Below are 15,334 nucleotides of genomic sequence, written 5' to 3' on the forward strand. Positions count from 1 at the left end.
CATAATCCAGTAAAACAACAATCCAATAAAAAAGGCAAAGGATATAATAGTTTATAGTAGAATATGTGCAAATAGTAAAAAATAAAAAGATAATCTTACTCATTAATAAATGTAAACAGAAACAATGGCATATAACCACAAGTGTGGCAAAAAGAAAAAAGACTACTTTGACAAAGTTGTCAGGAAACAATCACTCTTACTATTACAACTTGGTGTAATTGTTTTGAAAGGCAGCATTACAATATCTAGTCAAAACTGTATGAGAATATAGGTACCCTTTGACTCAGCTATTCCACTATTTTAAGTATGTAAAGACACACACAAATAATGTATGGAAATATATATACACATATATACTATATAGTATATATAGTTCATATGTATGTTATATGTTTGTGTATATATCTATATACTTATATACACCCTTTGACTCAGCAATTCTATTCCTATAACTCATGTATGTAACATATATAATACATATCTTTATATACACATATGTACACACATATCTGTAAGTATGGGAAGATGTATACACATGTACACATATATATACATACATATGTATATATGTATTTTATGTATGGATACATATGTATATATGGATAGATTTTACACCTACAGACACATTTAGATATGTAACTTCAGCTAAAGCAATTCACTCCTATATAAATTGCTACAGATAACTTGTATAAGTATGCAGAAATGTTTCTTTATAGCAGTGTGTATTAGCAAACAAAGTGCAAGAAAGAGAAAAATGATTGACATGCTTGTGAGGAGACTTTTTTTGTTGTTGTTGTTGTTAGGGCTCATTCATAAAATAATAAAACTGTGCATCCATAAACAATAATGAAGCACATCTATATGCACTGACAATGGAAGTTGTCAAAGATCTATTGCTAATTAAAGAAAGCAAGTGACAGAATAGTATGATCCCATTCATGTTTTCCAAATATGCATGCTGGGGGAGAGATGTTTGCAATTATATGTACTTATATTTCTGGAAGGATAATTAAATATTTGTAATAGTGGTTACCTTTGGGTAGTAAGAATGAGGGTGGGAAAAATTTCAGATTTTTGCTTACTACTTTTTGCTTTCTGGACTGTTTGAAAGTTTACCATGAGCAAGAATTATTAAATAACAACCACAGGAATATTGGGGCTCAAACCTAGAGATTCTAATTTTGTAGACCTGGAGCTGATCAACAAGTCTAAATGTTAAAACATCCTCACGGGTGATTCTGACATGGAGCCAGGATTGAGAAACAATTTTCTGAAATGGAAGGGGTTTTAAACTTGTTGTCCTCAAATGACTACTGAGGCAAACACCATTCTTATAGACATAAGACATACTTGGGAGCAAATGTATAATAAAGTGGTATGCTTCCCTAGAAAGGGGACGACCTTAAATCTTTCTGTTTATGGTGGTATTTAAACATATTAAAAACTACTAATTTTGGAATAGTCTTACTGTGATAAGTCTAACTATCAAAGGCAGTCCAGAGATTAGCAAATAATAGAGGATGATCAAATGTTTTTCAGAAAATATTATAGGTGGCACTTTGGCAGGAGATTCTGAGAATGGTGAGAGGGTGCCTCTGTGCCCTAGGAAAGGTGATAGAGCTTAGAAACTCAGAACTCAGATGGAATGAGGAGCCATGCCATATACATCTTTACAACAGTCACCCTCTAGAAGAAAACTCTGTGTTGACAATAATCTGCTGACTTGTCTGTGGGTTTTTGAACAGAATAAACTGTTTCTTCTTTTATGTTTGTGTATTATTGCTTATAAATATATTCTAAAATATATAATAACAAACAATAACAGTACTTGCAGCTTAATTAAAGAAAAAATGCAAGTATCTTATTTATACTAAGAGAAGAGAGAAACCCGAAGAACAATGGATTATCCTTACATATTTGGTTTGGGATTACATTGAGAGCTACCTAAATACCAGACACTCATTCTTGGTCCTGACTCCTACTCTGTTATCCATAGCTCAGTACCTAGTATCTGGCGCAGAAAGAAGTGGAATGGAATTATCAGGGAGACCCAGTTTTTAGCCAAGACTAAAAGGTTTTAGCCAAGGGGATGGAAGAATTTGTGCATAGATAGACGGCAGATGGGAATTCGTTTAAAATGGAATGGAGACCCAGAGGTCACATAAGACAGGGTTCAGAGGAAGTAGCCCCAACAACATCATAATAGAGAACATTGATAATGAGAGGATAGATAGATTATGCATTTGGGGAGGAGGCCAAATATGAGAAATAAGACATGGTTTACTTACTGTAATTGGTCTTAAAGTTTTGAGTGGAACTCTGTTGTAAAATATTTTCTGTGCCAGAGCTGACTCCATATATCTACTGGAAGTCTAATGCCAGGGGCTTCTGAGTGTGAAGTGGATTAATAGGTGTTTGGGGTCCTTTGTAAACTTCTAGTGTAATGTGAATAGCTGTGAGGTAGTCAGTGTGTCATCTTAATACATTGTTCTTAGTTCTTTTTCCAGCAAACTCTTTTGTTTTACATTTAGTTCACACCACAAATTAGTAAGTCAGGCTTGGTGCTTTTTGACCCATACATTAATTTTCATTACTGTGCTTAATATACAATCCATGCCAATTACATATTATTAATTAGTGGCACTAGTATTAGTTCATATTTTCTTTTATTATGTAATTAATAGGGCCTATATGTGAAAGTTACTGTGTTTCTGTAAAATGAAGTATTCTTTTTCCTTACGCAAGGAATGACATTAAAATCTTCTGAGTAGGGAATTTAAGAGGCAAGAAAGGAGTAATTTCATTTGGATAGCTGAAATTGAGAAACGTTTTATAGAAACTTTTCAGGTATGAAGGATAGTAGTAGAGATGTTACATGAGTTAGCACTCATATATTGAATTAGTTAAGGAACCAATGTGGGAATCTAGGTCTTCTATCTTCCAGTCAAGTCCTTGTTTCACTTTTCTTCATTCCCTCTTTCTTTCCTGTCGTTATAAGTAGAATAGGAAAATATTGAAAGTATTGAGGCTCAACTGTTGTTGCCCCTTTAAGTAATTTCTAAAATTAAAATTGTCTTATTTTCATATATGTGTGATTGTGTATCTAGGTATCTCTTTGTAGCTTAGTAATTGAACACTGTGAACTACACCAACCTAAGCATTATTCTCCAAGTTTTCATCAAATAACTAGACAGTTTCTGTTAATACTGAAAATCTAGTAAACGTGTCAGAATTTGGTTATGATTAGTTGCTGACATAAAACATGAGGGCAGACCTCACTGTACTTTAGAAGATACTGGCTTTCACATTTGCCCCAGTAGGTAGTTCACATGAGTGCTTCTTCAGATAATGTCTCTAAGTTTTGCATATCATTAGTTCTACTTGCTCCACTTTTGATAGAGTGGCAATGTATTGAACATTGTAAAAATTATGCTCTATGATTTAAAAAATCCATCTCTGGTAAAGCATAAAATGAGTATATGTTTTACTGTTTAAAATAATTGAGGGGTAATTATAGAATCAGCAAAAAGAAAAAAAAACCCTACTGACTATTACATATCAATGCACACAGTGTGTTAATATTTTCAAAAAAGGGAGGGCAATCTCAGTGTAAGTGTAAATGAAATTAGTTTTTGTATATATTTGCTGAAGATCAGTTACCTAGCTTCATATGATAAATTATTTGGTGCTGGTCACAATATTGTGCTTGCCATATTAGGGAAATAAAATATCATGAAAGTATTCCTAAGTATACATTTTCCCAGAGGCGTTTGGGGTTTTATCAGTCTCGAGCTCTCCTCTTGAAACTGTTTCATTCCTTAGTTATGAAATTACTAATTTTAACCATTTAAGGCATAGGAAATTTTACATAGATTTTGCTTTAACAGCAAAACACCCTTTAAAAAATTCATCCACTTAGGTGAAAAATAAAAGATAAAAATGAAGCCAAATGAATGTTATTAAATTTATAAATTTATTTAACTTTCCAGATCTTCTTGGAATAAATGTCAGGTAGTAGAATTTGTACAAACCTTGGTAATGTCTTAGGTTTAGATACGAACTTAACAGGTATATTTAATTTTCTGTATTCCACAATGGAGCTAGAAGCAGGACTCATGAAAATAGTAACTATATGTTTTGCATGTATCCTTCAAAGTGAAATCCTTAACAAATTTAACAGTATATATTAGGCTGCTGATGAAACAGCTAAACCTGTCTGCCAGGTGGCTTCGAAAATGGAATTAATTTTTACATGGCATTGATAAGTTACTATTTCAATACAACCAGGTGGTAATTGATACCCAATAATGTTTGAGGTTTGCTTTAAATAAAAAAAACTAACAAAACAAACAAAAAAAACAGTGTAATATAGTACTGTGGGATCCACAATAACATTTTCTTTAGTTTCCCTTAATATCAGGTTGTCATTAGGAAAGATTCCACAAGTTATTTAAACCAGAAATGAAGTAACATGTTTCATATCTATTTCAAGGGATAATTTTTCATGACCCAGTATAATGCAACTAGCAAATTTAAACATCTTGGAATTTAAGATATAGAGGTCAAATTAAGGGATTTTATAAACCAAATGGGAGATTTTAAAGTATCAACTGACTTCTTTTATATAGAATGTTTTCTAATAATTGTAAAATACTGTAACTTTAAAAATATTATTCTTGTAGCCTCTAATGATTGAGTGCTTAAGTGATAACTAGAAATATATTTTCTGTCCCTGTGCTTCAGTTTGAAAATGGAGGTTCCATTATCTTTGTTCCAAAAATTTGGGTTTTTATAGGTGTGTTGGGGGGGGTTATTCTCCATATTGTTGACATTTTAAAATAGTTTTCAAACAAACCGTTTATATTTACTAGAAGTTAGAGAAAGAAAAGCCACCTTAGGAGCTTACAAGGGAGATCATTGTGTATTTCTGCTTTTTTTTAAAAAAAGTTATCTTCATGTGTATCATTCATGATTTTGGAGGACAAGCTGGTGCAATGGGAAGAAAAGCAAGACAACCATAATCAGCTGTGGAACTAGATGCACTTCTTTGTGCATCCATGGAATGAATATCTTGTAACCTTTGGCAAGTTACTTGATATTTCTTTGCCTCATTGTCCTCATCTGGGAAACAATACCTATCTCTCAGGTTTAAATATTAAATTAACAAATATATTTTAATGCATACCTGGTACAGATTATGTGTCAATAAACATATCCTTTCCCCAATAACATATGCTCTGATTCTCAACTAACTTTCCCCAGTAATATGTTCATTTTGGGAATAGGAATTGGTAGAGAAGTAAAGATTTGTGTATTCAACTCAAATGTACTCCTTCTTATAAGTCTCCACTCTCAAATGACTTGTTTCTGTTCCTTTTTTCTCTTTTAAATGTGTATCTGGTAGAATGAGCATTTAGAAGCATAATACATGTATACACTTTGTGTTTAATTTTCTATGGCATAAGTAAGCAGTTTTTATGAATTGCTGGTATTGCTTATGAGCAATTATTACAAACATTGAGAGAAGGGAACCCCTGTGAACCTTTAACATTTCTCAGGAGTTAGTGGTAAACCCATGAACATGTATTTTTAAACCAAATTACCCACCTCTTGGAGTTCAATCTCTGTTAATTCTTTATTAAAGTAGTGAAGTATCAGTTGTTCCAATGATATAATGATCAAGCAACCCTGGAAATTAAATCCCAAAGCAGTGCACCTTTAGTTTGTTCAGTGATAGTAGGACATCCCACGAGCCATCATATATTTTCAAGTTTTTATACTCAATCTACTTTTTCAGCAATCTTTTGGGAACTATCCCAAGATAATTTACTGCATAAGTGCATCTATCTTCTAAAAGACATTTGGAATATTTCTTAGTCTGACCTCTGCACCCTGAGACACTCTATAAAGGAAACAATCAGAAAAATTTAACAAAGAAATAAATAGGTTAAGAAGAAAGCAATCTAGGCGTTTGCACTGAGTTTGCAACAGTGCCATTGCTACATTTAAGAGCTGTAGTTCTTCCTCACATTTTAACTGAGAGCCACTAGTTATGTTACTTAAAATCTCCCCATTAAATAAGACAGTTGCTGAACAACTAAAAAGTACAAAATATCACAAAATCAAAAAGTAGCAAGTCATAAGGGGATTTCCGCATCCTAGCATGTGTGTGTGTGTGTGTGTGTGTGTGTGTGAAAGAAAACGTTACAGTTAACCGTTACAATTGCTCTCACTCCACTCCACCACCTCATCCTGTGTAGTCTGCCTGCGGAACCCGCGGGAATCTCTCCTCAGTGTAGTAAGAGCAAAGGCCAGCATCCTGTGCAAAGGTGCTCTGCAGCGTCGTGATCCAGGGATTTTAGCATCTGTCGTCGCTTGCACATCCTCTCTTACCCCTCTGCTATCTGGTGGAGTTGGGCGAGGGTCTCCAGGGCTTCCAGAGAGTGTCGTTTACGCATGTGACTTGCCATGCGCTCAAACTAAAGCGCCGCCGGGGACTTACTGAAGCCCACCTCGGCCCTCCTCCACTTTGTCCTCAGTCTTCAGGTTTTCCTTTCTGCCGCTAGGGCCTAAGTTGTGGGTTCACCATAACTCCTCAGCAGACATTGGAGTGAACGCATCGACTGCCGTCACCCAAGTGCTAATCACTGCCTTCTCCCACTCAGCGCTGGAGTGGGAGATTCATCCATCGGAAGATTCGTAGCCACCAGGTCCAGTCAAGGATTTCATATGCACTTTCCCTCAGAAAACCCTGAAAAGCAAACGACCCCTGGAATGTCACACACTCCTAAATATCCCTGGAAATCCGCTTCTCTGTGTTTCGCTTCATGGTGAGTGTCGAGGGCCAGATAAGACAAAGAAAAAAATGTATGGAAGGTTATTCCCGGTCGGCTCCTCCTTCCTGTGAGTCTCAGACAGGCTTGCAGGCTTACAGGCTTTCCGCCGCTCCCCGTTGGCAGCCTTCATCGAATTAGGTGGGTGGGGGTGGGAAATTGGGTAAGAAAATAAAGTCGTTGTGGGCGGCTGGGGAACCTGGCGTCAGTCCCCCGTGGCTGTGCGCAGGTACCCTGCAACGTCGCGGTGGCCCCGCTCCTCGGCCAAGTCCACGGGCAGACGACCCCAGGCATCGCGCACGTCCAGCCGCGCCCCGGCCCGGTGCAGCACCACCAGCGTGTCCAGGAAGCCCTCCCGGGCAGCATCATGCACCGGTCGGGTGAGAGTGGCAGGGTCTGCGCAGTTGGGCTCCGCGCCGTGGAGCAGCAGCAGCTCCGCCACGCGGGCGCTGCCCATCATCATGACCTGCCAGAGAGAGCAGAGTGGTCAGAGCCAGGGTGGGGGCAGGTATGGGAGATGCCGGCCGGGGCAAGGCAGGTGGAGCCATTTAAAGAAACACCTAATTGCAAAGTTTTCACCCAGTGCAGAGGTGTTCAGGTCTCTGATGTCTGGTGTTTCTTCATTTGCTGATGCAATCCACTTTCCCACCCCACCTTCAGGTTATACTCAGTACAAATTAAATGCCATTTTATTCTCTAAACGTGCAGAGACAAGAAAGTTGATGGTAAAGTGATGATCATCATTATGGAAAAACAAATCTTGATTTCCATTGGAACATGGGAATCTATTTTGTTAAATGATTTAGGGGCAGAGTTAAATTTATTCGGCTTTTAAAGTTTTAAATTATTTGCCTTGCTGACCCCTCCTCCATAATCCAGGTCTACAAATATTTATTAGGTAGTCAACTACTGTTTGTTAGAAGTTGGGAGTAATGGTTTAGGGGAGAAAATAAACAACTAAGTTTTTTTCTTTCTTTTTTTTTTAATTTATTTAGTTCTCATAGCAAATCCCGTGCGGAAGGCTTTTGTTTGTCATGTGTCTGAGCTCATAACTGGCTTGTAGTGTGATAATTTGAGCCAAAGTTGGAGATTAGAAGGGAAAAGTAAATTAAATCATGCAAAATCTTATAAAATTATAATAAATGATTTTTCCTTAACAGTTCATCATTTTAAATTTAGACTATAATATTTTTAATGTAATATAAAACTAACTATATTTGTATACTACAGGATTTTATAATAGCTAAGATTTAAAAATGTTAAACAGTAAATATTTTGCTATATAAAAAGAGCTTGGGCCAGGCCCAGTGGCTTATGCCTGTAATCCCAGCACTTTGGGAGGCCATAGCAGGCAGATCACCTGAGGTCAGGAGTTCGAGACCAGCCTGGCCAACATGGTGAAATCCCGTCTCTACTACAAAAAATAAAAAATTAGCTGGGCATGGTGGGGCGTGCCTGTAGTCCCAGCAACTCAGGAGGCTGAGGCAGGAGAATCGCTTGCATCCTGGAAGAGGTTGCAGTGAGCTGAGATTGTGCCACTGCACTCCAGCCTGTCCGACAGAGTGAGGCCTCATCTCAAAAAAAATAAAATAAATAAATAAATAAATAGAGCTTGGATGTTAGCAGTCAATCAGGATGATGCATAACTTAGAAAAAATGATGTTTTGCAGGAGTAATCCTGTAGCAGCCATTTGTGTACATGAACATTATGAAAACATTTGCTGTCATATTTAAAGTCAATTATAAGACAATTTTTGGTAACTAAATGTCTAAAATCGAGTTATTTGTTATGGGTTTATGCACTTTAAAATATACCATTTAATTGAAAGGCAGTATACTTCTCATGTTTTGTTGGCTTGTTTCATTAATATTAGAAATGTTCATTTCATCTCTTAAAAACCGTGATAAGTTATATCTACTAGTGATGTAAGGATATTTTACATAGAAAAAAAGGGGAAAATAGCTGCTGTTAGTATTTCAGAAAATGGTGAATTACATATATAACTTGTTTTTATAATTATTAATAAAATTTTAAGTTTTTAAGATGCACTTTACAATATTTTTGCTCCTTTAAAAATCCCTCATTTGTTATACCATTATTCTAAGAATTCAAAAGAAATGAACACTTCTTTAAAATCTATACTATTAACAAGATCCCTTAATATTAGCTTAGTTTTAGAGGGTGATAGTGAGGTGAGTACTGAATATGACCACTAGCCAACGGTAAAGTACAAAAGAGTTGTCCGAGATTGTAAAAGAAATAAAAAATATCAGTACTAATTAAAGCAGGATTCGTACTTAAACATTGAATAAGTGTATTTTAACAATGAAGATAAAGATGCATTATTTATGAAGATCCTTTGCCATTCAAAAAGGACCTAACAGTTGCTGCAGGAATATTTTTGTAATCTGGGCACTGAGTATGATAATTAAAGAATGAGAAACCTATAGAACTATATATTTTTTCTCTTATGCATCACTCATAAGACACTGCTAACATAAAAGGAACTAAGTACTGTGGTTGAGGAATCCCGTCTCATTCTCAATTAACCTCTATGAGAAAACAATACAACAGATTTCATATAGTAGCTTAGAAGTTTACATTGATTTTTTCCATGTACTATGATTTTGTAGAATTCCTTAAATCCAATCTAGAATGCGTAACTTATACTTTACTTATCTTTATCGTTGAAAGCAGACAGACAAGATAATCTTCTTCCCTAAATAAGCTTTCCTTTTCTCCTTTTCTCCCCAATTCAGTCTATTCCTTGCATCTCTGATCATGAGATGGCAGAACAAAAACCACTAAAAAAAGCTTAAACAGTGGGTTTTTCAATGTCTCTCTTTAGGATTTTTGCTGGGTAAAAGCCTGTTTTACGCGTGGAATGCACACCTCCGGCCAACGGAGACTCCTGTACAAATCTACATCGGCGATCTAGGTTCCAGCCCCGATCCGCCGAGGCCGCGCCCCGCGTTCGCGCGCCCCCTGCCGGCGAGGCCCTGGGGCCCCAGCTACCTGGATCGCGCGCCTCCCGAAACGGTTGACTCCGTTGGGATCCGCGCCGGCTTCCAGGAGCTGTCGCACCTTCTCCACTAGTCCCCGCGCCGCGGCGCTGGCCAGACCCTCATCGCTGCCGCCCCCACTGGGCATGCCCTTGTTCTCCTCGCGCATTCCGCAGCCCCCAGACGCGCAGCGGCCCGGATAATCCACCGTTGGCCGTAAACTTAACGACACTCTTCCCTTCTTTCCCACGCTGCTCCGGCGCACTCTCTCCTTCCTAGGAGACCTGGGCTCAGCTTCATTACCCTCCCGTCGTCCTTCTGCGGCTTGGGGCCCCGTGCAGTGGCCGAGCGGCCGGTCGTTAGCTCCGGGCTTTTCCTGGCGCTCAAGAACCAGCGGGCGCGCCTGGATTGCTTCTGGGAAAAAGCGCCTAGCGCGGACGCAGCCGAGCTCAAAGCCGCTCTGGCCGCAGGGTGCGGACGCGTCGCGGAGTCCTCACTGCCCCGCCTCGCTCTGGCAGAGTGGGGAGCCAGCCGGCAAAGAATTCCGTTTTCAGCTGGGCCAAGGGGCCGGCGTCTCCCCACCCCCTTAGGCTCCGCCCCCTGTCCGCTGTGATCGCCGGGAGGCCAGGCCCGGGCCGACGCGTCACGAGGGCGGGGAAGCCTGCCCAAAGATGCTAGGACGCATGCGCCAGAGACTGGGCCAGGGAGCCGCCAGGAATGCTGGCTGCACTGCTCGCTGGATGTCCAGTAAAGCCAAGGCTAATATTTTGGGAATGTTCACCACTGCCCTCAGCTCCTAATCCCCAGTAGGCGGAGCAGAGGATTTCTGTTCCTTCAGCCAGCCAGTTGGTTTCACTGTGGAGACGTTGGTGGCTCCCTTGTGACCGAGAGAAAGTCATTCAAAATAACTCCGTGTTTCTTAAGATGTCTGAAAGCGACAGCTCTGCACCTGTCATACAAGTTAAATTCATCCCCAGGCAGTACTTGGGCTTCACAAGTTTCATAACTTGTATCAAACTTAGCAATTTTCTCTTGGATGTGTCTTTCTGTTTGAATTAGTCAACCATAAAAATAGAGAAAAATCCCGAGAATCATGTTTTGCGTGTGCTTTTTAATTCTTTCCATTTTTGCATTATGGATACAACCCTTAAAAGAGAAAAAAACTAGTTCGAGATTGAGAGTGGCAACCTGGCACACATAAGACAAAAAAAAATTATACTTTAAGAATCTGAGATCCCAGTTTCATCATATTTGTACAGTAAATCTTTGTTTGCACTCTTACCTATTTAAACCCACTTTGTCAGGTATCTTATTTTTATTTATCATGAGTAATAAAGGAAATTTATGCAGTAATAATGAAACATCATAAGAGAGGGGTGTGGTGCTGGGCTTGTCATTAAACAGGCTGAACCTGTCATTAAATTCTCTTCTGAAGATTTAAATGCCAAGTGCTTTTTTTCCCCTTCCTAATCTTCCTAGGTGAGTTTGAATCAACATTTATTACTTAAAATATTTAAAACATTTCAGCGGATGCTACATTGGATAGGAAGAGAACCGCAAGTTATGGATTTGTTGCCTAAAAACTTTGGTGAGGAACTGCATAAGTGGACCTCTCCTAAAAGTGAACAATTTTTGTTTACAGAATCATTTTGGTTCGGAGTGCTGAGGAAGACAAAGTCTTAACAGGAGGGCAATTGCTTGTGTATTGCAAAATGAGAGTCTTCACATGTTTTTTTTAGGATACCTTAGCTCTGACTCCTCATCCCCCAAATCCCTGTAGAATTAAAAAAAGCTCTTTCTTTTAAAGGCAGTGGAAGTGCCACCACCATGGAAGTGCTGGTTAGGGCTGAAAATCTACTGACAGAGCCTCAACAGAGCTGAAATCCACCTGGACAGGGAAGGGAACCGGGTAGCATTAATAACAATTTCTTTTTCTTTCCCATCCAACCCCCATTTCCTAGTCTTCAGTTTCTTAATTTCTCTACCTTTTACTCTTATGCTCTTGTTTTGACCTTTGAGTTTCTCTGAAACTTATCAGAAAAGTTAGGACAAGATAGTCTGACCCAATTCTTGAGCCATTTTCTTAGGTAGTAAATATGTCAGAAAAATGAAAGCTGTTTGGAGTTGATAAGGAAATGGAAGATAATGTTTTTCTTTGAGGGGGACATAAAGAATGGTGATAGGGAAAGAACCAATGACTAAGTAAAATGACTGAGAATCTTGCACGAGGCAGATGTGTGAGCTTCGCGAAGCAAGTTGACTGAATGAAAAACAACTTTGGGTAGGGAAAACGTTGCCGGGGGCATTCGCGCTTACTAGCACCACGGACAGCGCTTTGCTTATACTCAGGCCTGGGTGGTCCTAACCAGCTCCAGACAGAATTCTAAAGCTTCACACTTGATCTTCCAAAGCCCCTTTTCTCCCGTCAAATAGAAAGGACATTATGGAAGCTCAATGAATTTCTTTGAAAAACCAACCTGCTCAACCTGGTTTTCAAATATGATTGGATTTTATCTAATATTCTCTGTATAAAGAATATTATATAGTCTATATTTAGAAGACGAGAAGAGAAATCAAACTTATTGTGTACTCTGTACGAAGTGCTTTACAGCTGTTGTTTCATTTAATACTCATAAAACTCCTCTGTGGCATGTGTCCATATTTCAATTTTACAGACAAGCCAAAAGGATCAGAGAATTTGAGTGACTTGTATACTAGCTAATCATTGTTGGAGGTGGGTATAACTTTTGCGACTTCAGAGTCTTTTTACCCTTTATACTACATAGTGTTTTTTTTAGCAGCTGTCATGGTAGGCTTAACTGGAAAAAAGTAATAAACTGGCTTATAATTATTTTTCAGTCTACACTGTGTTTTCCAGATGGCTCACCTCACAGCACACCCTTACCAGACTTCAAAGATGACATTTCACATGTAATACAATAGCACATTTGTCTTGGACAATAGAGTGAGATTATGAAACATTTTACCTCTCCTTGAAACCCAGCTGTCTCTAGGGTGAAACACAATCTGTTGTTAATGCTTTAAACACATTTAAAAGATGAAGTGGATGGGAACATAGTGGGCAGCTGAAACTTGGAATTGTCAGAGCCATGTCTTTTAATAAGGTGGAGAATTTATAATTGAGAAGAAAGAAAGAGAAAGTTAATGGTAAATTGGCATAGAATTTTGGAGGTCAGTAGAAGGGAATGAGTGGCATCCATTCCAATGTTGCACATAACTCAGATCACTAGTAATAATATTTTTATATTCTAGTTGGTGAAATTGTCTGTATATGACCTTGATATAGAAGTATGAACAGATCTGCCATCCTCTTTTTCTTCAGCGAGGCAGCCGAGCTGCAGACACAGAGATGCAGATCTTTGTGAAGACCCTCACGGGCAAGACCATCACCCTTGAGGTCGAGCCCAGTGACACCATTGAGAATGTCAGTGCGAAAATTCAAGACAAGGAGGGTATCCCCCCTGACAAGCAGCGTCTGATATTTGCCAGCAAACAGCTGGAGGATGGCCGCACTCTCTCAGACTACAACGTCCAGAAACAGCCCACCCCGCACCTGGTGCTGCACCTGCGAGGTGGCATTATTGAGCCTTCACTCTTCCAGCTCACCTAGAAATACAGCTGAAACAAGATGATCTGCCATAAGCGCTATGCTCTCCTGCACCCCTATGCTGTCAATTGCCGCAAGAAGAAGTGTGGCCACACCAACAACCTGCACCCCAAGAAGGTCAAATAAGGCTCTTCCTTCCTCGGAGGGCAGCCTCCTGCCCAGGCCCCATGGCCCTGGAGCCTCAATAAAGTGTCCCTTTCATTGACTGGAAAAAAAAAAAGTATGAATAGAACTGGTTGACTGGCCAAGAGAAACAGCGACCTAACCTTGCCCTCATTTATGCACACTTTTGCATATGATTAGGACTAAGATAGTGTTTATAAGTGAGAAGAGAAGGAAATTCATAATCACTTTTGGGGCTTTTTCAAATTTTTTATGAACACACCTTCCCACCAAGAGGTTTGATTTTCTCCATTTTATGAGTTGGGTTTATTGCTCCGTGATCCACAGTATATCCACTTCTATATTCCCATGTATTTTTCAAGATTAATTAAATGGTGGACTTGTTCATCATTTTAGTATCCGTATTAGTTTGCTAGGGCTGCCATAACAGAATACCACAGACTGAGTAGCTTAAACAACAAATATTTATTTTCTCAGAGTTTTAACTTCTCCTGAGGCTTCTCTTCTTGACTTGCACATGGCCATCCTACTGCTGCCTCTTCACATAGTCATCCCTCTGTGCACACGTGCCCCTGGATCTCTTGTGTGTGTCCAAATTTCCTCCTCTTTTGAGGACACCAGTCAGATTGGATTAGGGCCCACCCCAATGGCCTTATTTTAACTTAGTCACTTCTTTAAGGGCTCTATTTCCAAATACGGTCAAATTGTGAGGTATTGGGCTTAGGACTTTAATATAAAAATTTAGAGGTGACAGAATTTAACCCATAACAACAGCATCTTAATTTTTACACATTTTACTTTTCATTTCTTTTTAAACTGTTATTAATAATTTATTCATTTGAATAAGGATTAAAATAAGGCTAGGATATTGAAATTGGTTGAAATTGCTACAGTCTCTTGTATCTCTCTCTCTCTCTTTTTTTTCTTATAAGGGACAGGTTTCATTCACCTTGTCGACCAGGCTGGAGTGCAATACTGTGAGCAAGGGTCACTGCTGCCTCGAATTCCTGGGCTTAAGGGATGCTCCTGCCTCATCCTCCAGAGTAGATGGGACTACAGGTGTTGGCCACCATGACTGGCTAATATTTTTACTTTTTTGAAGAGATGAAGTCTTGCCATCTGGCCCAGGCTGGTCCCGAACTCCTGGGCTCACACAATTCTTTCACCTCGGCCCCCCAAAGTGCTGGATTGCAAGTGTGAACCACTGCACCTGGCGTCTTGTTTCCTCTTAATCTACAGTTTCCCCCTTTTGCCTTCTTTTTTTTTCTTTCAATTTATCTATTGCAGAAATTGGCTTTATCTGTAGTTTTCTAAAGCTTGGATTTTGCTGAATGCTTCTTTATAATGACACTTAACATTTTTCTTTGTCATTTGTATTTCTCATAACTTATTATTTAGGCCTAGAGTCTGTATGTGATTCAGGTTTGATATTTGGGCAAAAGTATTTAATAAGTGGGATTACGTACTTTCACCAAGAGACACATAATATGGTTGTCTCTTTCTGTGATTCTAGCAGCCATGGATAATTATTTCATAGATTATTATTTTCTTGGGGATGGCAAAATGGTGATATTCTAATTTTACTATTCCTTCATTTACTAGCTGGAATGTCTTTTTAAATTATTTATTTATTTATTTATTATTTGAGACAGAGTCTTGCACTGTCACCCAGGCTGGAGTGCAGTGGTGTGATCATAGCTCACTGCAACCTGCAACTCCCAGGCTCAAGTGATCCTCCCACCTCAGC

At 39.0% G+C, this 15,334-nt stretch overlaps 1 protein-coding gene, 1 long non-coding RNA gene and 1 pseudogene across 34 annotated transcripts in view, besides 2 other annotated features; 2 read left to right on the forward strand and 1 right to left on the reverse strand.

The window, feature by feature from the left end:
- The window catches only part of CDKN2B-AS1 (CDKN2B and CDKN2A antisense cis and trans regulatory RNA 1), a 133,352-nt gene that overhangs the window by 4,158 nt on the left and 113,860 nt on the right, over positions 1-15,334 (forward strand). The window lies entirely within an intron of this gene.
- On the reverse strand, positions 3,955-10,365 carry CDKN2B (cyclin dependent kinase inhibitor 2B). 2 transcript variants are annotated; one of them, NM_078487.2, is made up of 2 exons: positions 9,727-10,365; positions 3,955-7,299 (listed from the first exon to the last, which is right to left on the reverse strand). In NM_078487.2, exon 1 carries the CDS (start codon positions 10,003-10,005, stop codon positions 9,769-9,771), a length of 237 nt encoding a protein of 78 aa, NP_511042.1. In that variant the 5' UTR covers positions 10,006-10,365; the 3' UTR covers positions 3,955-7,299; positions 9,727-9,768. The 2 variants fall into 2 exon arrangements, with proteins under 2 accessions (NP_511042.1, NP_004927.2); NM_004936.4 differs by having other exon boundaries at positions 9,850-10,357.
- Positions 9,699-9,898: a silencer, noted in NCBI's record as "silent region_19815". NCBI's record gives its function as "represses an Ori minimal core promoter by ATAC-STARR-seq in GM12878 lymphoblastoid cells {active_cell/tissue: GM12878}" and the evidence as "EXISTENCE:reporter gene assay evidence [ECO:0000049][PMID:35858748]".
- Positions 12,022-12,316: a silencer, noted in NCBI's record as "tiled region #15403; HepG2 Repressive non-DNase unmatched - State 9:DNaseU, and K562 Repressive non-DNase unmatched - State 24:Quies". NCBI's record gives its function as "represses a minimal TATA promoter and a strong SV40 promoter by Sharpr-MPRA in HepG2 and K562 cells {active_cell/tissue: HepG2 | K562}" and the evidence as "EXISTENCE:reporter gene assay evidence [ECO:0000049][PMID:27701403]".
- On the forward strand, positions 13,167-13,674 carry UBA52P6 (ubiquitin A-52 residue ribosomal protein fusion product 1 pseudogene 6; annotated as a pseudogene).

Source organism: Homo sapiens, chromosome 9 (assembly GCF_000001405.40).
Source record: "Homo sapiens chromosome 9, GRCh38.p14 Primary Assembly".
In the NCBI taxonomy this organism is placed as follows: Eukaryota; Metazoa; Chordata; class Mammalia; order Primates; family Hominidae; genus Homo; species Homo sapiens.